Here is a 21,051-nt window from a genome sequence, read left to right on the forward strand (position 1 = left end):
GCTAAATAAAGACAACTATATATAAATAAAAACTTCTCCATGGCAAATAACCAAAACAAACAAAAAAACCACAAAATAGTCAAAAGAGAAATGATAAACTGGAAAAACAATGAGCTTTTAGAAGCTGAGAAAAAAACTATTAACCTATTTTTTTTTAATGAGCAAAGGGCATAATAAATTATTTCACAGAAAAAGATACATGGCTCACAAACATGAAAAATGTTCAGTCTCTCATAACAGAAATTCACTTCGCTGAGAAACAATTCTTCACTCATCAGATTGGCAAAACTAAAAAACATGTGAAAAGATTGTGTAGGTGCAGCAATAAGAAACAGGCTCTCTGTCGCATCTTGCTTGTAGGTGGGCATGTGCTCAATTCCTGCCAAGGGAATTATCTACCAAAACTGGACTGATTTGCTTTTGATCCAACAAACCGCTTCTGCAGATCTAGAAGACACATACACATGTGTATCCGCAAAATGTTATGTACAAGATTTTTCACCGTGCCACTATTTGAAACAGATTGTCAACAACCTGTGTTGACTGCTTAGATCAATTAGGGTACATGAAGTATTACACAGCTGTAAAAAAAGAATAAGAAAGAACTTTATGTATTGGTAGAGATCTCCAGGGATATTGTTAGGCAAAAGAGCAGCGTATATATATACTGTTATATTTTATGTGTGGTAAAGGCAAAAAATGTATACAAACGTGCAGACATTTAATATATTATAATAATGTAAATATTTATATTTCCAAAAAGAAACTAGAAAAACGGTTACATGTGACAGAGTGGGACAGTAGTCAGGTACAGGAGTTCTCGGTAAATACTGTTCTAAATCTTCTTTTAGTCATATAAACGCATTGCTTATTTTTAAAACTAAAAAAAATAATAATTCTGAAGTTTGAATGTCTCTCATGTCTTATAGCAGAGGGACAAATCCCTATTTCAGAACCTTTCTTCCAAAATATGTCTAGTAGGCTCGCCCAAGGTAAACATTTCATATTCTAACACCAACCACATTTCTCTAGTAAAATGACCTAAATGCACTGTAATAGTAAAACATCCAGTTCATTAAAGCACATTAATCTTTAGTAAGTCAAAACAGGACCAGGAATATCTGCTTTACCTTTAAAAAAGGGGCGGGGGACTTCTGAAAGAAAATAATTTGCTGGCTAGGTTGAAGGTTACAGAAAAAGTCTTAGAGCAAATGGATTTTTGTTTTGACTGCATTTAACAATCTCGGTCTTCTGATCGCAAAGAACTGATAAAACGGACCAGTTTTACTTCCTGAACCTATGACTTAATTGTTTTAAATGCCTTTAAGTAACAGTCTGGGTAAATCATCTAAGTCATAAAACAAAGGCGTGGGAACTTTAAGTAAAAAGTGAGTGATGTTAGCAGGTTGGCACACATCACTCAATAATGAGCAAAGCTATTTTTTTTCAATTTTTTTTTCTTAAAGTACCCTGTATTCAAAGACTTTTAAAAAATAGCAGTGAGATTATGGATAGGAGAGCAACTTTAAATTCGTTCCCTACTGTAGTCGAATTGTTAAATACGTGACTTTGAAAACGTATCACAAAATCTAAACACAAGGTTCAGGATTTTTGTTAGGTTGAACTGTCAGGAGGGGATTCCTTACAAAGAATAAACGAGAGCTCTGAGGGCCTAACGAATTATCCAGATTGCTCCAAACGGCCACCGCGGCGCAGATGGGCGGACAAGCGCCGGGCCTCAGCGGAACCCAAGGTGCCGGAGCCCTCCCCGGCTCTCAAGCAGCCCACGGCCTTGCTGGGTGGGACACATTCCAAACCCAGGAAGGGGGCGAAGGGGGCAAAAGAAGGCAGGTCTGGGGCGGGCCGGGCCCGAACCCCAGGCGCCCCAGCCCCCTGGGCTTCCCCACCCCACCAGACGGACACTTACTGAAGGACATTTTCCGGGGTGTCCATGGCCAGAGGACGCTGGCCGGCAGCGGCCAAACCTGAACCGCAAACTAGAAGCCGCCGCCGATTCGAATACCCCGCGCAGCCGCAGTCGGCTCGCCGAACGTTTCAGGGCGCCTGCCCATTGGTGGCGGCGGCAGAAGGTTGGCCAATCACCGGGGCCGTTGCTCGGAGGTCAAGTCCCACCTCCCTCCCTTGAGCCAGTAGCTCCTCCCACTTCCCGTGGTTTTCGGTTGAACCGAAACCTGGCCGTTGGCTGAGCGAGCGCGGGGTGTTTGGGATGCGGCACGGCGAGGGGGAGCAGGCTTGGCTCGGGCGTAGGGAATTGGTTTTTTTGTTTTAGCTATCCAGGTTGTGACTGGTTTACATAATTACACGATTAAGCCATCATTGTAGGAAAGGCTTTGCAGGAGAAAAATGTCTTAACTGGAGGTCTTTGAGACAGAAAAACCCTGCCTCAGCCCTTGGGTCCTGAGAGTCGCGTTTCTTCTCCCCTTCGCTTAAATATGTAAACCAGAATCATTATGTTTGGTTCATGGAACGGAGGAAAAAAATCCGTGTGCAGGGTCGAGACTGTCGTGGCGGAAGCCGCAGCACCCGGGAGGCAGGTGGGGAGAAAAAACGGGACCTGCTGCCGGGGACCCCTCCCGCTTTCTGGCAGTTTTCTATTCAGCGTCCTCGGCTGTGAGAAAACATCCCAGATGCTGAAACCAATAGTCTTAGCCCAGAATCTCAAACGCCGTGGCAAAGAGGGAGTGACGACGGCCTGTGGAAAAACCTGAGGAGTTTTGGGCTTAGCGCCTTCATGTAGAGGGGACGTGGAGGCGGGGAGGGCGTTCTAGGGTCGGCTGCGTAATTATACGAGGCACTGGAAAGTGATGGGTTAGTGTCCTTGGAGTAGACCCCTGGGTTTTATTGAACTGATCTGAAAGGCTGGGCCCTGAGCCACACAGGGGACCTGTCAAACAGCTTCAAGCGGAAGATGGGGCTCACGGGACTGGACTCTCTCTGCAGCCAGCTGTAATTAACACAAAAGCAGAAGAGTTTGGGTAGATTATAGAATGCCAGCTTTGAACATCTTTTGGGGGACAGGGCACTCTGGGAGACCAAGTTCTTAGACACCATAAAATCAAAAATAGACACCTCTTTGTAGAGGAGTCCAGATGTCTAAAGAGGAAATATGTAATAGGCTGATGTTTCTTTTGTTTTTTGTTTGTTTGTTTTTTGAAAAGTTAAAATACTAAGTTTATAAAGTGAAAAAGTTACAGTAAGCTAAGGTTGACTTATTGGAAAAAATGTGCTTATACTATGGAATGAGACCACCACTTCTCCTGTTGTCCCTCCCAGCTTCTTCTCCACCACCTCCCCTTTTCCCTAGTTTATAAGACAGGAGAAAAGTGAGACAGCAAAAAGTTAGAAAGAAACAGAAGTAAGATAAATAGCTAGACGACCTTGGCGCCACCACCCGGCCTTGGTGGTTAAAATAATAATAATAATGTTAACCCCTGACCAAAACTACTTGTGTTATCTGTAAGTTCCAGACATTGTATGAGAAAGCGCTGTAAAACTTTTTGTTCTGTTAGCCGATGCATGTAGCCCCCAGTCACGTTCCCCACGCTTGCTCCATCTATCACAACCGTTTCACATGGACCCCCCCCTTCAAGTTGTAAGCCCTTAAAAGGGCTAGGAATTTCTTTTTTGGGGAGCTCGGCTTTTAAGATGCGAGTCTGCCAACGCTCTCGGCCGAATAAACTTCTTCCTTCTTTAATCCAGTGTCAGGAGTTTTGTCTGCGGCTCGTCCTGCTACAATATGTATATCAAGGGTTTCTTGTTGGTGTCTGACACAGACACAGAACCACTGATGCCCAAGCCAGTGCTCTCTACACACAGAAGCCTCCAACCTCATCTTGAGAAACGGGGCCATGAGGCCACCCCAGACACCGAGGGCTCCATGGAGGCTGGGGGGTCCGTGGGACTGGGCACATCCCAGCGGGTCTTGGATCCTGGCCTTTCCCCTTCTTGATGCCAGGACCTACTGAGTGCTCGCAGGTGTGCAATGCTGGGCTGCGGGTGCTGCTTGTGTGGCAAGAAGCCTCGGGGTGCCTCCCTCCTTCTCACACCTTTCCCAGGAGGCATGAAACGGGGATTCATGATCAACCCCGGTGGCTGCTCATGTTGAACTGGTGAAGCTCCCTCCCTGTTGTCTTCTGGGGACATGGAGGGCAGGGCTGGATCCCCTCAAATGAGCTTAAGTGGCACTGCGGACAAGAACGCGCTGCATGGCCCTCGGAATCCTGCATGTGGTAGCCTGACCGGCACCTCAGCCCCTCCCTCATTAAAGCAGCCTATGGAGGGCTCAGCCCAGTGGGCTCAGGGGCTGCTATGGAGAGGGTGTCTGTTCCCTGGAGGATATTCTCAGGGCTCCTTCACTTGCCCTTAGAGATTTCCACCATGAAATACAAAGGCCACAACAGATCAGGTCAGGCTCTTCAGCATCCTAATCCTCCTTGAGCTCGCTAGGTTTTATTTCTTCTGCCTCTTCAGGGTTTGTGTCTATTGCTTTTTGCGCAGGTGCCGGGAGAGGACTTGTTGGCATATGCTGACGGTCGTCTGCACACTTGGGCTCTTCCATATCTGCTCCAGAAGCTGGAGCGTCTCCGGCACTTGCAGAGTCTTTGTCATTCTGGGTTTCAGAAAAGTTGTTGTCCTCAGAGCTTCCATTCTCCTGGTCTGCCCAGGTGGCCTTCGAATGCTGGGGAGCATCCTCAGCTGAGCCTTTGTTGCTGTCTTCCAGGGGCTCCTCTGTCGCTGATGTTTCTTAAGAGTGAGCTGGGAAAGAGTTAGCCTAGTCTTCTCTGCCCCCTGGTCTTTAATAACTTTTTACTCCACATCTCAAAAGTGTTTCAAGAGCCACTTGACGATACAGAATAAAGAGCTGTTCACGCTAGAAGGAGGTTGGGTGGATGTTTCTGCTTCCTTGGCCTCTTGAGTTAAACACCTAAAAAAATAAGGCTGGGCACGGTGGCTCACGCCTGTAATTCCAGCACTTGGGGAGGCCGAGGTGGACAGATCACCTGAGGCTAGGAGTTGGAGGCCAGCCTGGCCAACATAGTGAAACCCCGTCTCTACTAAAAATACAAAAATTAGCCAGGTCCTGTCTCTACTAAAAAACACAAAAATTAGCTGGGTGTGGTGGTGCGCGCCTGTAATCCCAGCTATTCTGGAGGCTGAGGCAGGAGAATCGCTTGAACCCAGGGAGGCAGAGGTTACAGTGAGCTGAGATCGTGCCACTGCACTCCAGCGACAGAGAGGGAGTCCCTCCCAAAAAAAGAAAAAAGACATGCGCGGTGGCTCACGCCTGTAATCCCAGCACTTTGGGAGGCTGAGGCGGGTGGGTCAAGAGGTCAGGAGTTTGAGGCCAGCCTGACCAACATAGTGAAACCCCGTCTCTACTAAAAATACAAAAAATAGCCGGGCGTGGTGGCACGCGCCTATAATCCCAGCTACTCAGGAGGCTGAGGCAGGAGAATCACTTGAACCCGGGAGGCAGAGGTTGCAGTGCGCCGATCGCAACACTTCACTCCAGCCTGAGCGACAGAGCGAGATTCTGTCAGAAAGAGAGAGAGAGAGAGAGAGAGAGAGAAAGAAAGAAAGAAAGAAAGAAAGAAAGAAAGAAAGAAAGAAAAGGAAGAAAGAAAGAAAGAGAAAGAGAGAAAAAAGAAAAACAAAAAACCAAAAACCTAAACAAAAATTTAGCTTGTGGAAATCCCGACGCTCACTGAGTGCGGAAATTTCTTCCAGTGTGTTGATGGCTTTGAATCTACCTGAGTCTCCAATTTGTGGGGTTTATTACTCAAAGGGTAATAAACTCTGAGGTCTTTAGATAAGCGCTGGATTCCGCTAACCATCACAGGAACTAGGACACTTTTGGTTCCATCAACTCAAGTTTTCATCTGCTTCTGATAGTGGCTCAATCAGTAATCAACAGGAAATGTTGATGGAGAAGCCATCACGAGCTAGGTGCAAATTATAACCTTGTCTAACTCAAACAGAGCCTGTCCTGAAGGGGTTAGTGATTTAGTCTGGGAAATGAGGACACAGAAATAAAGAATTGTTTAAAGGTGGTATATATGTATATTAAGAGCCAAATGAGTTCAGACTGTATCTGCTAGGCCAGCAGTCCCCAGCCTATTTGACACCAGGGACAGGTTTCATGGAAGACAATTTTTCATGGTGGGGTGGGGGTGGGGGCAAGGGGTTGGGGTGGGCAGTGGGTGGGATGGTTTCAGGATGAAAATGTTCCATCTCAGATCATCAGGCATTAGATTCTCATAAGGAGCTCGCACCCTAGATCCCTCGCATGCGGCAGTTCACAATAGGGTTTGCACTCCTATGAGAATCTAATGCCCCGCTTATCCGACAGAAAGTTGAGCTCAGACGGTCACCCGCCAATTACCTTCTGCTGTGCGGCCCAGTTCCTAACAGGCCATGAACAGGTACTAGCCCATGGCCTGGGATTGGGGACCCCTGTGCTAGGGGTATTCAGAGGAGGAAGAGGTCATGCGGACCTGTTGGTCAGACAAAGCTTCATAGGGAAGGTGGGGCTTGAATTGGGCCTTGAAGGGAGGGGGGATGGATATGGGTCTGGCAGAGCCTTGGGGAGGTCATTCCACGTGTAAATCAAGATTTTAGAAGGAAATCACTCTTGAGGATTCATGAGCATTAGAGGTTCTTTTTCGAAAGACTGGTTTGCTGTTTTGATGTTAAATCTTGAATGCGACTAAGAAGTTTGTACTTCATCACTTTAGTAATTAATGGTCTTTTTGAAGCAAATAAGCATGTGATCATAAGGACCTCATGATAGTTACACTTAGCTCTACCCTGTTTTCTAAAAGCCATAGAGACTGTCTACCCTCCTTCATTTCTGTTACTAGGGGTTCCTCTCCCACCACACTTGTTTATGGGTGAGGTATTAGAGATACTCTTCTACACTGCCCTTAAAAAAGGCACACTAACCCCTTGTCAAACTCCAATGCCAATCACCGCAGGTATATCCAGGAGTAATAGAAATAAAATACTAGCATTGTCAGCAGTAATTAGAAACTGACATTTTCCTAGGAATAATGTCCTGCCTTACTCAATGGCTTTCCTTTATTCTCACTTATGGCAGTCCCCCTCTGCCATTATTCTTAGAGGAAGAATTAAAGTGATCTGCCTACACAATGTGTTCATCTTAATATCCCTATTAGGCTAATTAACATAAAAATCTAAAGAGTCTCAATCCTGAACCTGGTAGTGTTCAGGATTTACTGGAGACAGGGAGAGAGATGGGCAGAAAAGGCAGAGAAAAGTAATTTGCAAACTTCGAACTGGTGTTGCAGGCAGAGAGAATGGAAGATGAAGGAGAGAATCAGATCACATGGAAGGCCAATTCTCAGAACACAATGATGTCCTTAATATATAGGAAAAAGAAAAGAATCCAAGATAATTTGAGAGCCTAGGAGAATTAATAGAAACAGGCCATTGGTGCTGGGAAGGCTGCTACTTTGGTTTTAGTACGTTGAGTTGGGAGGGTTACCAGGCCTTTTTTTTCTACACAATAGGCCCCGTGAAAGAACAGACAACTACGGTTCACAGGATTCAGAAGCTTATTGAAAGAAGTTTCAGGTTCCACTTCCTAAGCCTAGAATGATTTTTTTGTTTCCTAAGAGCTTCACATTATCTCTACATGCCAGGGATAAATGAAGAACCTCTGAATATTTTGATACTTTGATAAAGAAAATCTGTAAACCTCAAAGAAATACACACTGGCAATTTATATGTATCAATATAAGCAGAAAATACCAAAGGGCGGGCAAATGTGTTGCTCATTTGTAAAAAATTCACCAACTGGAAGCTCGTGCCACTGATAGCACTCTGATTTCTCTGTTCTCACCCTTGTCTTCTTTAATCTTCTTCCTCTGCCATTTTGTCTCAGGCCTGAGCTGAGAGTGCAGCAGTTGGCATAGAATATCTGAAAGTCTATTAAATGATAATTGTTGCTTCATTAATTTGTCCCTCCCTCTTACTTTTGCTTTAGTGTTTCTGTCGCCTTGTCTCCTCAAACCTACCCCAGAGTGTGAGAGGAGAGGTGTGCTTTGGTCTGGCTCAGAGCAGCAGATCCAGCTATGTCTAAATATATGCCTTTCTTGCATCTGATGCAGAAATGTGCAGCTGTTAAGTCTGTCTTCCTTTCCAACTCCAATTCCACTTATAATTTTAATACTAAATGTCCATCTATCTAAAAATGACTCTGATAAATTTCTCTATGATGAAGGCCAATAGATAAAATATCTGCATTTGTATATGGGCTTTCAAGGTCTTGTGATTCCAACATCATAATTCCAAACTTAATGGAGAAGGAAAATCAGGCCACATCAGTGTATCTAAGATCCAACCTTGATTTTCCTAAGAAGCAGTAAGTGGGGCAAAGGATCTAAACTCTCAATCTGGGTATCAGCTTCCTGATCTGTGAAATGAATGAAGAAACCTGTCCCTTTGTCTTCTTAATGGTCCTTTGTCTTCCACTATCCAGTAACCTCATAAGATTTTCCACTTAATTCCTAACATATCTTGGATTGCCACATAATATCAAAGTTAGTGCTGTGTTTCACAGAGGAAAATGATTTTCTCTAGGTTCTGCAGATTTGATCTAAGCAAATAGTCACAGATACTTGTATCTCTTCTTTTCCCTGAGAAATTTAGAGACATTCAAAGTAGTAGTACTAGATGTGTGGCTAGCACATAGTGCCCTGAAACATTATATAAGGTTGGAGATTTATAATTAGAATAGTTTCAGAAAACAAAGGAGTGATTTAGGAGACTATAGAATATTAAGAATAAAGTCGACATGCAGAAAAGGAGATGTATAGCTCCATCTTAGACATTTTTCGTGTGTGTGTGTGTGTGTGTGTGTGTGTGTGTGTGTGTGTGTTGTGATTTTGGAGGGTATCTATGGAACCAAAGCCCTGAGTCTACCCTGTATCACTGCAGACTGGGAGGAAAGATGGAGGGGAGATAGGGGAATGGGAACCCAACTCCCTCAAGAACCCTCCCCAGTAATCTTTGATAGATTGTGCAGTTCAGCACATCATCCTGGTATTTATATGAAGGGCTCAAGTGATCCCTAAATGTTAATTCCATTCTAGGTGTGGTAATCGTATTAGTCCATTCTTGTACTGCTATAAAGAAATACGTGAGACTGGGTAATTTATAAAGAAAAGGTTTAATTGGCTCATGGTTCTGCAGGCTGTATAGGAAGCAGAGTGGCTTCTGCTTCTGGGGGGCCCTCAGGAAACTGACAATCACGGTGGAAATTGAAGAGACAGCAGGCATGTCTTACATGGCTGGAGCAGGAGGAAGAGAGTGAGAGAGGGGTGGTGCTACACACTTTCAAACAGCCAGATCTCATAAGAACTGTATCATGAGAACAGCACCGAGGGGAGGTGCTAAACCATTCACCAAGGATCCGTCCCCACGATCCAATCACCTCCCACCAGGTCCCACCTCCAACACTGGGGATTACAATTTGACATGAGATCTGGGTGGGAACACAGATGCAAACCGTATCAGTAATAGAGACCAGAGGCCATATTTCTTTCCCTTTCCTATTGGAGGCAATTTGATTGTTCAGAAGCTAAGCCTTGAATCCTGAGCACTGATATATGGCTGCCTGTATTTCCTCCAAACTGGCCCACCTTAACTTTGTGCACTTCTTCAGACTTCCTCCCTCTTGTCAGCTACAGGGTTCCTTAGCTTCTGTTCTTGAACTTTGGATTTTTTCATTGCTGTGTAAGTTGTGCTGACTTGGATTCTGGGGCAGACTGTCCTAATACTTAGGAAACTGGATGCAGCAAACTTTAGTCTTGGAACTGAAAGCACACATGCAACATGTCACTTTCTTCTTTAAGGGCATTATTCTAAATCTGTAGTCTCAATCCCCTCCAATTAGGCTCCTAAATCCTAGTTTAGTGGGATGATCTCTATGGGCAATGCCAGAGACCAACAGCTTTCCCAAGCCTTCCTCTGCCTTCAGGCATTGAAGACAAAGGTTGTTTTCCTGTCTTCTTCACAGCTGCTGTCACCTTTTCGATCTCTTATGACTTACTCACAAAATAGGATGGATGAGAATAGTCTCTTCAGATCCCACCATTTTTCCTTTGGATTCCTGAAAAACAGAGGCTTTTATCTTGAAAGTTTGCCAAAATGGATATATTTAAAATGTTTTGTAGAGTTCAGGAGATGTCGGTTAATCTATATTTTGTGCTTTTTCCTTTATATGTTTTCCGAAGTCTTTTCTATCTCTTCTGCTAACTGATGATGAATCTTACTTTATCATTTGTTTCCTCCATGAAAGAATTGCTCTGTGCTCACTTTCAGTAGAGAGATGGCCTGTCAGGATGGACAACTGTTAGACTGCATAACTGGCCTCAGAACCAAAACACCCTGAGACCACAAATATATTTTTTTCTTATTTGGGAATTTATTTTACACATGCTTACAACAGTTAAATCACATTTAGTTCTAAGCATAACAAATCACCTTTATTGGGAAAGAAGGGAGGAGTTCTGGCTTCTCTGGAAGAATCACCATTCAAATCATATGTCAGGTGGCCAGGCATGGTGGCTCATGCTTGTAATCCCAGCACTTTGGGAGGCCAAGGCGGGCGGGTCACAAGGTCAGGAGTTTGAGATCAGCCTGGCCAACACAGTGAAACCCCGTCTCTACTAAAAATACAAAAATTAGCTGGGTGTGGTGTTGGGCGCCTGTAATCCCAGCTACTCAGGAAGCTGAGGCAAGAGAATCGCTTCAATCCGGGAGGCGGAAGTTGCAGTTAGCTGAGACCGCGCCACTGCACTCCAGCCTGGGTGACAGATTGAGACTCCATCTCAAAAAAAAAAAAAAAAAAAAAATCAAATCACATGTCAGGGAAGTGTTGAGCTCTGAGGAAAGAGAGCCACCTGCCACTAGGCCCTGGCCAGATTTATCTTAAAGCTGGTGGTTTGGGCATGTAGGCAGTGACAGCTGACCACATCGCTCTTGAGAGGTGACTGGCCAATCCCTTTCTTGATTCTGATAGAATGTGTTCTGTTTCCACTCCACCTGGATGTACTGCAATTCAATTCTGACACTAACTGCCCATAGTTAGCATCAGACTCTGCAGGTTTAAGAGCATAGTCCCCAGTAAGACTACTCTTACTTCAGATGCCAGCTGCAAGTTCAGGGGTTCTCAGGCCACCTGCACTTCTGACCAACTGGCCACTAAATTGGGAGTTTCCATGACCCCCTCAGGTTCACTAATTCACTAGAATGGCTCACAGAGCTCAGGAAAGCCCTAAGCTTATTATTATAATTTTATTATAAAGAATACATCTAAGATGAGGTCTGGGAGGGTCCTAGACATGGAACTTTCATGCCCCCCTCCCTGGGAAATTTGGTATGTCACTCTGCTGTCACATCAATGTGTTCGCCAACCACAAAGCTCCACTGAGCTTTGGTGTTCAGAGGTTTTATTGAGGTCTCATTACATAAACATGATTGAATAAATACTTAGCTACTTGATCGAAATCAGTCTTCAGCATATTGGAGGTCTGGAGAACAAGCCGATCTCACAGGGCTCAAAGCCTCAATCAACACTATTATCAGGTGCTTGGTCTTTCTGCTGAGCAGCTTCCATCCTGAAGCTGTCTAGGGGCCCCACCATGGTAATACAGGATTTACTAAGAAATAATTTTTAGGTAGGCAGAAAGGGTGAGGGTTCTCAGTGGAAATTTCTTTTAATAAAAGCAACTCCCAAAACGTTTCTTTCCTAATAGAAAAGCAGCTTGGAAAGCCAGGCCGGCAAGTATTGATATGCAAATGGAAGCGATTAGAAACTAGGTCCATCCAATTGGCAATTCCTCCCCTCTTCTCTTTGTCACCATGTGTGCCAGGTGTTGAAATGCCTAACCTTGTTTTCACTTTAACTCGTTACTTTGAATTTTGTCTTGCTTGTCTCTTTAATCACCTAGCCTTGCTTCTCATGTAAATAAGACTCTCTCTAGCTAGGAAGGCCGGACAAACTCCAACTGACCCCTTAATTTACAAGACACTAAGGGCTCCTCACCCAACCCCCTTTCGTAAGGAGTTGGCCTGGGTAAACAGATCCTCAGCATTTCAAAGGAGCCCAATTAACTGATAAGGTACTAACACCAACAATGTATGAAGTTCCCAGGATTTTTCTCCGAGAGATGACAACATAAAACCTTGAGTTCGTGTCCGGCATAGACCCTATATCTAATTATAATGAAAGATTTAGAACCTTGCTCCTGGTACCCTTGCTCTTCTTGTAACCATTTGTCTTTTAAGTTGTTTATCACTCTGTAACCATTTTGTTTCTTTTGATTCTTGCATGTTTTTACTTCTGTAAAATTATTACATTTGAGTCCCCCTCCCCTTCCTAAACCTAGGTATAAAAGTTAATCGAGCCCCTTCCTCGTGGCCGAGAGAATTTTGAGCATTAGCTGTCTCTTTGGCCGCCGGCTTAATAGAGGACTCTTAATTCGTCTCAAAGTGTGGCGTTTTCTTAACTCGCTAGTGGGTACAACAGTGTCATGGCCACCTACAGATAACACCACCTGTGCAGGACATCATGGCGACCTGCATTTGCATGTTAAAAGGCTAGGGTAGGAGGACCAGGCTTTTTGTGGGCTACATAAATGATACACCTGGTCAAACCAATCCCCTGGGCCCTAGGCAAATAAGACACCACCTCCTCCAGCCTCCCAATATAACTGATGACTTTTCTGCCACACAGGGGTTTTTCTCTCTGTTAGGAGCCCCTCTCCCTCTGTCTCTCTATGGGGGAGTGTGTTCCTTCTTTCTTGCCTATTAAACTTCCCGCTCCTTAAAACCACCCCACTTGTATCCATGTCGTTTATCTAATCAGCGGGAGACAAAGGATCATGGTGTTTCTCCAGTCATCAGATGGGGTCACCTCATTAGCATAACAAAGGCACTCCTATGACTCAGGAAATTCCAAGGGTTTTTGAAGCTCTGAACCAGGAACCCAGGAAAATGACCAGCAGTTTTTTTTTTTTTTTATTATACCACAGAGGTGATCTGCATGTTTGAACATAAGCTTACAATTTCATGAGCTTTAACAGCATCTCTACTTTTATAAAATCATATTCTCAGGACAGCAACCTTGTCCTCTTACCAAGTTGGAAAGTAATCATCATTCTTGCTCAGCTTGTATTGGCTTCTGGCCCTTCAAAGAGCTGGACACTTACTAATCTGGAAAAAGAGAGGTGAGCAAGTCTCAGACCTGTTTACTTAAAAACATCCAATCTCAGGGATAGTCCTGATGGAAGTTTATTTTATTATTATTTTTTGAGACGAAGTCTTGCTCTGTGGCCCAGGCTGGAGTGCAGTAGCTTGATCATGGTTCATTGCAGCCTCGACCTCTGAGGCTCAGGTGATCCTCCTACCTCAGCTTCCCAAGTAGCTTGGACCACAAGCAGGTACCACCATACCCCACTAATTTTTAAATTATTTGTAGAGATGGGGTCTCCCTGTGTTGGCCAGGCTGGTCTTGAACTCCTGGGCTTGAGCAATCCCCTCACCTTGGCTTCTCAAAGTGCTGGAATTATAGGCATGAGCCACCACACCCGGCCCCTCACAGATGTTTATACAGCTGGGCACTAATATACTTCTTGTGTGTGTATCAAAGTCTAAATAACATTCTTTAGCTTGTCTTTTTGGAAGCAAAGTCATAACGAGGAAAACTGAAGTGAGACTATAAGTTACCTGTAGACTAGTTTATCAGATGCTTAGTTTGGGCATTCATATGGTTAATCATCATATCTACTACACAGATGTGCTTCATGTTTAACTGCTGATTTCTCTTCCTCCAGGGAATGACAAAAGCTTCTAGCCACAGGTAACTAGAGGCAACGTTGTAATAGCCTTGGTTCATTTCAATCCCAGTCTTTTGTGCCTTCCTGTCTATAATTTCCCTGCCGGAGAGTTGTCTTATCCAGAAGTAATGTTAGCAGACGTACATGAAGTACATTACTTTAAAATGGTTGCTCAGCCTCAGTCAGCATTTACGTAAGTTGCCTTTCTATTAGACAGGACTTTCTGCCTTGCCTGCTGCTGCTGTTGCAATTACTGCTGCTGCTAGTATTCTGAAATTTTCATCTTTCATTGGTTAATCTTTGCAGTCCCCTTCCTTTTGCATATTAGTGCATGACATGACGCTTTTGAATATGAGATTGTCTTTGCATTTGTTGCTCTTTGCAATTCATGTGCTGCATTAGTCTGCACAGGGCTGTTTCCCTGGGATACTTGGTTCACTGGGCAATGTTTCTCTATTTCTGCTTCTCTTTTGGATAGGCCTTTGGGCTTCTGGTTTTCTGACTTCTTGGGCTTCTGTTTTTGGACCTATTGCCCATTTTGACTTCTTGATGGATAATCAATTTGAACCATTAACTTCCCTTGACCAGTTTATCTTTCTGATCATCTCTGACCTTTGGACCTCAGTGTCCACTTGGACTTTGCAACCAGCATTGTGGGAGGGACTTGTTATTTGGTTCACATATTTGGGGGTCAAATGAAATAAGAGGTAGGAAGATCAACTCTCCAAGAAACAGTGGAGATTGTTTTCTATATTCACATTAAATATTTTCTATAGTAGTCACTTAAAAGCTTCAAAGCAGACTTGCATTCTAGCTGCTTCTGCCATTGTCAGCATTTTCTCATTCTTTAGTTGCTTCCATATCATCGAATATATACTATGTTTATTGAACGTATGCTATGCCTGCCTAGACCCAGTTGGCTTGGTAAGGATTTTGATGACATTGAAAATTTGAAATCAATTCAAATCCCACAGAAATCTATTTTCCTTCCTTTATTCCCACATGATAGTCTCCTTCATTTTTCTAAAATTCAAGGTACATCTTCATCAGTATCTCTCATCCTGGACATTAATTAATATGTCATGATATAGTCATTGGTACATACTTGGAAGAACACTGGTAACATTTCAGGGAGGCTAATAAATCTATCCAGATATTTTGAGTTGCAGTCAACAAAAAACTCAAGTCAAGCTAGTTTAAACAATAAAGTGAATTTAATGGTTCATTTAACTGAAAAGCCCAGAGGTAGGTGGGTTTCAGGTACAGTTTGATTGAGACTCTAGCTCCCTTTGTCTGCCGTTCCCTCAACTCTGCTATCTCTATTCACTTTGCCCTTATGCCGATTTTCTTCATGGTAGCAAAACGGTTACAGCAGTTCTTGGTCTCATCTGTTTTCTCCACAGTCTCAAATGCACTGTGTCACTCTAAACTGGTTAAGTTTCTTGCCTTCCTCTAAAGGCTTCTCGGAATCACATGGGCATATGACCTAAGGAAATCAGGGGCTTTGGGAAGTAAAATGGGGAGTATGTCCTGGGGAGGCAACCAACAAGGTAACCGTGCAGTAAGTTCTTAGCATAGTTCTCTGTCACTTTGAAAAGAAAACTTAAAAACCACTGAAAATAAATGGGTGACTCTAGCAGACTGCAGACTACTGACCCTCAACTGCTTCAGTCACTAACTGGTGATTCCTCTTTAGTTCTTTCCAAGAACAACCTCCTTGTGACTCATTTTTAGAAGAATGACAAAAAGAACAGGCCTACCTGTAAGCCCAACAGAGACAAGGCTGGAATGACTACCAGATGCACCAGTCATGGGTGCCATCTTGTTTCTCGTGTGGTCACTGCACTTTCATGGCATTCGAAAACAAAAAAGAAAAGAATTAGTTGCAGAAAGCATAATTGTCAGGCCTCTGAGCCAAAGCTCAGCCATTTGTAACCCCTGTGGCCTGCACATATATGTCCAGATGGCCTGCAGGAGCCAAGAAGTCTGGAGCAGCCGAAAAACCTGCCTTAACTAATTAACCCACCTTATGACATTCTACCATTATGACTTGTTCCTGCCCTGCCCCAACTGATCAGTCGACCTTATGACATTGTTCTTCTGGACGATGAGTCTTACGATCTCTCCACCATGCACCTTGTGACCCTCTCCCCTGCGAACAATAGATAACCACCTCTAACTGGTAACTTTCCACTGCCTACCCCAGTCCCGTAAAGCTGCCCCTCTCCTATCTCCCTTCTCTGACTCTCTTTTCAGATTCAGCCCACTAGTACCCAACAGCCTTCTTGGTCACACAAAGCCTGTTTTGGTGGTCTCTTCACACGGACGCGCTTGACAATAATGACCTGTTGTATTTCTATGAGCTTTTCTTGCAGTTTCGCTCCTGGTGGGAGGGAAGCCTCCATCTTCACAGAGGTAGATCCTCTGATGGGCTAAATTTTGTCCCTCCCCTCAAATTCATATATATTGAAGTCCTAACCCCAATACCTCAGGATGTAACCTTATTTTGGAGATGGAGTATTTAAAGAAGTAATTAAGTTAAAATGAGGTGATTAGGGTGGGCCCTAATTCAATACGACTCGTGTCCTTACAGGAAAAGGAAACCTGGACACAGGCACGTATGAGGGAAGACAATGTGGAGAGGCAAGGAGAAGATGGCCACCTGCAAGCCAAGGAGAGAGGCCTGGAACACACTCTTACTTCATGGCCCTCAGAAGGAGGCCACCCTGTCAACACCTTGAGCTCAGACTTCAGCCTCCAGAGCTGTGAAAAAAGAAATTTTTGTTGTTTAAGCCCCTCAGTTTGGGGTAATTTCTTATGGTGGCCCTAGCCAATGAATACAGGTCCCAAATAACTCTTCAGTTTGGCCATATTTCCCTTACCTCTAGGGACTAATTTCTAAGTGCCAGTTGTTTTCTTGACACCAACCATTCAAGGTGGGTGAAGAGGGTCTGACAGGGCAGGACACCTAATGGGAGTTACCCAGCTGTTGAGGGGGACGCAGGTCTGCTGGTCAAATCATCTGTCCTCTATGAACTCAATTTCTTCCATGGGAGAAAGAGAAATGCAACTCCTCACAGTCAAGAGTTGGCCTGTCACTAGGCTGCGGTCGTGTCTTGTTGAACATAAACAACTTCACAGAATGTTCTCATGAAACAAGGCCACTCACAAATTTATACCTGCTTCCTGACAGCACCCAATCCACAACAAATGCCTGCTTCTCGGAACCCCCACACCCTGGCCCATATAATGACCTAACACAAACCCGAATCCTACAACCAGTCCTTCTAGTGCTTTCTCAGGGAGACGTGCTTCCCATAGCATGCTGGCTCCCTTGAGGCAGTGAGCCAATGAACCCTAACTCTGTTCGTAGTTGTCTTTGAGACATTAACAAGAGTTTTGACTTTATTTTACATATACATCAGTCAATGGGGTACCCTCGCCCCCCACACTTCAGCCAGGACAATTTATACGGTTTAATACACCTCTTACAACATTGACTCTTATTTTCATTATCATTACATGAACAGTTACTAACTTATTAACCTTGAATTTTTTATCTCTTCATTTAATTTGGAATTTCTTAATATAGAATGTGGTAGGGGAGAGGAGGGCTCCCTTTCAAAACAGCAACAGTGGCCGGGTACAGTAGCTCACGCCTATAATTCCATCACTTTGGGAGGCTGAGGGGAGACGATCACTCGAGCTCAGGATCTCACTGTCGAGGTTATAGTGAGCTATGAACACACCACTGCACTCCAGCCTGGGTGTCAGAGTGAGACCTTGTCTCTAAAAAAAAAAAAAGAAAAAAAAATAGCTATAAGTTATGATAAGAGTTGTTTAAGGGTAAAGTTTAACTGTATAGTGAGTTTATTTAGCTGCTTATGCGAGTGGAATGAATGCGATCCTCCCACCTACGAATAGGTCAAGAATGTGCTTAACGCCTTATTCCCAAGGTAATGCTGGTATGGGTTGGTTTAAACGGCATTCTGGATGCCCTTTAGGGTTTTCTGTGAAATCCTAATGAACGAGCCATTTTTGTGTAACCCATTTTTATCAGGCCCCATCAACCCAAGTGCTGCAAAACTAGGCTCATGGTCCCATCTGGGAAAAAATTATACTCCCAAATGTTGCCGCTGGGATTGACAATTGCTACAGCTGTTTTGGAAAGTAATGTCCGTATCTATCTACAAAACCAAACAAAAACAAACTCAGCCAGCCCTCTCCCAGGGACAGAATCCAAGCAATGAAGCTCAATGGCAGGCGAGGGGTGTGCAAAGGGTGTTCTGCCACCCCCGGGCAGTGACTCCATGTGGGAAACAAAGCGTGCGCTCAAACAAGCAGGCAGCAGTGAAGTTCTGAAACACTCTTACCCCAAAATATTTTACACATTAAAAAATTGAGTCTGGTTTACAGCAATGACTTGGAAGCACTTCTCCTCTGTTCAATTACATGTGAAAAGCAAGAGGCGGAAGTGAAAAAATAATCCCAACACTGTAAAAACAAAGGTCAAAAATTCACATTTCCATGTGATTAGGAGGAAGATAAGAAAGATTATTATTATTATTTTAACACTGGTTGGTTTGCTTGGGAGAAGGCAGAGGTGGGTAAAGGAGGAAGTATGAAAAACAGGGCGGAGTAAACATTTTAATAGTTATTAAACTTTTTGAGCAAATGCAGAATTAGAAGCAAGAGGAAGAGGAAAAGTGGGAGTGGGGTGGAGAAGAACTCAGCAATAAAGGTCTCCAAGCAAAAGAGAAAACCTCCAGGTAGCACCTTGGCAGCAGGGAACACAGAAAATAATCCTACCTAAACTATTCCTTCAGACTCACTACTAAGAGCACCACTTCCTTAGGAAAAATCAGAGATATGCTATCAGAACCCACTCCCTGTGCATCCTTTGTGTTTAACTGTATACAAATTTGTAGGGCAGCCTACATAACCAAGAAAGATCAGTCAGGAGAGAGTATTTCCCTAGTTCTATCCCGATGACAAGTTTAGAAACCTTACTTCCTTCAATGTTTCCCCTTCCCAACAGTACCCGGGAATCCCTAAGCCAGGAGAATGGCCGCATAGTGGAAGGAACTCTTCAGACCCTGCTACATCCCATTCTCTGCCTTCCAACACCCCCCCCGATAAGTCTGGGCCCATTGATCCCCCTGACAGAGCAGGAACACTGTCATCTTGGACAAACACCACCGCTTTAAGTTCTAGCTCCCTTTCTAGCCTCATGCATCTCAAGGGAATCACTTCTCTTCTAACTACAAGCAGCCAGAAAGAGCAGACGGTAAAACACAGATAAAACAGCTCGGGCACAGAGGGAGGTGGGGGGAAATTCTCTTGGGTAACTGCCAAACTTCACTGTCATACAATGGGCCCCAGTAAAACAGTAGGCCTTAATAAGCACATTCCTTTCCCTTCAAGTCCACTAAGATAGGGAAGCTAAAAGCAGACTCGGGGGTCTGCCTGCAGTTGCAGAAAGGTCTATGAAAACACACAACTCTCCCTCCCAAACAAGCACAACAAAGAGACACAAAAACAGTCCAAGCCTCTAGTAAACTCTCCCACCCTGAATCCTTAAAAACTCTTAGCCTGTAAGAAAGTGGGGCTCTAACCTAACTTGGCCAAAACCCCCTCCTAGGTTTGTTTTCTAAAATAAACCTGTCCTTGTTAACCATCAAGCCACCCTTCGTGTTTCTTTCCTCTTTCTTTAATTATCACACCTCCCACATCTGTGTGTTTAGTCACCACAGGAAACACTTGGTGCAGAGAGAAATGGAAGAGAAGATCCAAGTCAAGGAAGCAGCCAAGGGGCCAGGGCTTCATGGAGGAAAGAGCAAATCTTGAATTGTTCAGGATAGGGGATGGAACCAGGAAGCAGCAATGGGGTGGGAACTAAACTGACATAGGAGCATTTGGGGAGCAAGTCAAGAAGGCTCTGTTGAGTGATGTCATTGACAGAGTCGGGCTGGCAGCTCAGTGGTGTGCTGGCCAGAGAGGGGGTATGTTAAGCCAGCTAAAAGGAGCAAGGCTGACCCGGACAAACTCATATTTTAAACCCGACCTGAGTGGTCCTGGCATGCGATTTCCAAAGTGTCTCTGCTCTTGGAGTGAACCACCCTCATTCTTTATCTGAACTGGACCCCACTTGCAGAGTCAAGTCACTCTTCTCCCAGTGGTGCCAGATTCAGAACTGGACTCCTGCTTTGGTCTCCACTTGCTGTTTCTATATTGCATCCTTTCTCATTCCCAGGTCTTTCTCCAAAGCATGGAACCCTTTCTTGCTCTTAGATGCTTACCTTTATGGACCCAGAATCCTGTTCTAATTCCTAACCCAGAGCTGTGGTCCCTGGAAGCAGAGCTTGTGGCTGCCATTCTTTCCAAGTACCCTTCCCTGGATTCTGCTTTCGGGGTCTTGATGCATTTATGGGTAGGGGAGCATCCTAATCCTTCATCATCTTCAACTATACTTTCCTACTTCCACATTTCTGATAACTTGTTTGGAGTCTGCTGTCAACTCTGGACAAACACGTATTACGTCTTAGTCTGAGCTTCTGCCATTAGTCCCAGAAGTGGAGTTCCTTCCTAGGACGTGGATTTGGTACTAGAGCCCAGCTTTGCTTTCTTGCTTCATCATGCTGCCAGGCCCCCACTGTGGTCCCAGTCAGCACCCCCAACCCTGCTCCCACTGGAGAGCTGTCACTCAGTCAGCTCCCTCTGGATTGATGAGTGGCAAAAGGTCCCTAGACTGGGCCCCCTAAGGCAGGACTTCTTTAGAGGATTGTAGTCTCTACATAGTGATGGTTGTACTGTTATAAAGGGCCTGTTTCCTTTCATTCTCCCTCTGTCAACTCTTTTCTTTGAAGTAAAAATGGAACATTTATTGATTCATACAGCTAGACTTCCCAAGGGATCAGCTGGCTTGCAACTCAGCTGGACCTCAGGGCTTTAAACAATGCCACTAGCACTGCAGCACTGTGTCTCCTCCTAGCCCCAGCTCTGCTTAGTTTCAAGGAGATGGTGGAATTCGTGAGCCTTTGAGTACAGGAGCCCAGAAAGAGAAAGAGAGATTCTCTTTCCTATGTTTATATTGAAAAGACGATGTGTTTAGGGCAGGTGAGACACTGAGAGATATTTCTACTAGGATCGCGTGGAGAAGGCATGGTTC

At 44.4% G+C, this 21,051-nt stretch overlaps 1 protein-coding gene and 1 long non-coding RNA gene across 6 annotated transcripts in view, besides 8 other annotated features; one reads left to right on the plus strand and one right to left on the minus strand.

The window, feature by feature from the left end:
• The window catches only part of BUB1 (BUB1 mitotic checkpoint serine/threonine kinase), a 40,536-nt gene extending 38,515 nt beyond the window's left edge, over nt 1-2,021 (minus strand). For all 4 annotated transcript variants that reach the window (NM_001278616.2, NM_001278617.2, NM_004336.5 and 1 more), the window contains exon 1: nt 1,928-2,021. In NM_001278616.2, the coding sequence (NP_001265545.1) occupies nt 1,928-1,953 (26 nt within the window). In that variant the 5' untranslated portion in view covers nt 1,954-2,021. The remainder of the gene's footprint in view (nt 1-1,927) is intronic.
• Nucleotides 1,277-2,197: an enhancer, noted in NCBI's record as "H3K27ac hESC enhancer chr2:111434896-111435816 (GRCh37/hg19 assembly coordinates)". NCBI's record gives its function as "activates a minimal SCP1, AML or CMV promoter by ChIP-STARR-seq in primed H9 embryonic stem cells {active_cell/tissue: H9 hESC(primed)}" and the evidence as "EXISTENCE:reporter gene assay evidence [ECO:0000049][PMID:30033119]".
• Nucleotides 1,721-2,120: a silencer, noted in NCBI's record as "silent region_11864". NCBI's record gives its function as "represses an Ori minimal core promoter by ATAC-STARR-seq in GM12878 lymphoblastoid cells {active_cell/tissue: GM12878}" and the evidence as "EXISTENCE:reporter gene assay evidence [ECO:0000049][PMID:35858748]".
• LOC105373554 (uncharacterized) lies at nt 2,170-16,744 on the plus strand. Of its 2 annotated transcripts, none has more exons than XR_007087178.1 (2): nt 2,170-5,967; nt 16,477-16,744. It is a non-coding gene; the product is annotated as an uncharacterized LOC105373554 (long non-coding RNA). The 2 variants fall into 2 exon arrangements; XR_923189.4 differs by having other exon boundaries at nt 2,170-2,555.
• Nucleotides 2,198-3,118: an enhancer, noted in NCBI's record as "H3K27ac hESC enhancer chr2:111435817-111436737 (GRCh37/hg19 assembly coordinates)". NCBI's record gives its function as "activates a minimal SCP1, AML or CMV promoter by ChIP-STARR-seq in primed H9 embryonic stem cells {active_cell/tissue: H9 hESC(primed)}" and the evidence as "EXISTENCE:reporter gene assay evidence [ECO:0000049][PMID:30033119]".
• Nucleotides 2,631-2,690: an enhancer, noted in NCBI's record as "active region_16372". NCBI's record gives its function as "activates an Ori minimal core promoter by ATAC-STARR-seq in GM12878 lymphoblastoid cells {active_cell/tissue: GM12878}" and the evidence as "EXISTENCE:reporter gene assay evidence [ECO:0000049][PMID:35858748]".
• Nucleotides 2,951-3,040: an enhancer, noted in NCBI's record as "active region_16373". NCBI's record gives its function as "activates an Ori minimal core promoter by ATAC-STARR-seq in GM12878 lymphoblastoid cells {active_cell/tissue: GM12878}" and the evidence as "EXISTENCE:reporter gene assay evidence [ECO:0000049][PMID:35858748]".
• Nucleotides 11,440-12,411: an enhancer, noted in NCBI's record as "OCT4-NANOG-H3K27ac-H3K4me1 hESC enhancer chr2:111445059-111446030 (GRCh37/hg19 assembly coordinates)". NCBI's record gives its function as "activates a minimal SCP1, AML or CMV promoter by ChIP-STARR-seq in naive and primed H9 embryonic stem cells {active_cell/tissue: H9 hESC(naive and primed)}" and the evidence as "EXISTENCE:reporter gene assay evidence [ECO:0000049][PMID:30033119]".
• Nucleotides 12,412-13,383: an enhancer, noted in NCBI's record as "OCT4-NANOG-H3K27ac-H3K4me1 hESC enhancer chr2:111446031-111447002 (GRCh37/hg19 assembly coordinates)". NCBI's record gives its function as "activates a minimal SCP1, AML or CMV promoter by ChIP-STARR-seq in naive H9 embryonic stem cells {active_cell/tissue: H9 hESC(naive)}" and the evidence as "EXISTENCE:reporter gene assay evidence [ECO:0000049][PMID:30033119]".
• Nucleotides 13,690-13,984: a silencer, noted in NCBI's record as "tiled region #12654; HepG2 Repressive non-DNase unmatched - State 7:EnhWF". NCBI's record gives its function as "represses a minimal TATA promoter and a strong SV40 promoter by Sharpr-MPRA in HepG2 cells {active_cell/tissue: HepG2}" and the evidence as "EXISTENCE:reporter gene assay evidence [ECO:0000049][PMID:27701403]".
• Nucleotides 16,745-21,051: the final 4,307 nt, after the last annotated feature.

This window comes from Homo sapiens, chromosome 2 (genome assembly GCF_000001405.40).
Source record: "Homo sapiens chromosome 2, GRCh38.p14 Primary Assembly".
NCBI lineage: Eukaryota > Metazoa > Chordata > Mammalia > Primates > Hominidae > Homo > Homo sapiens.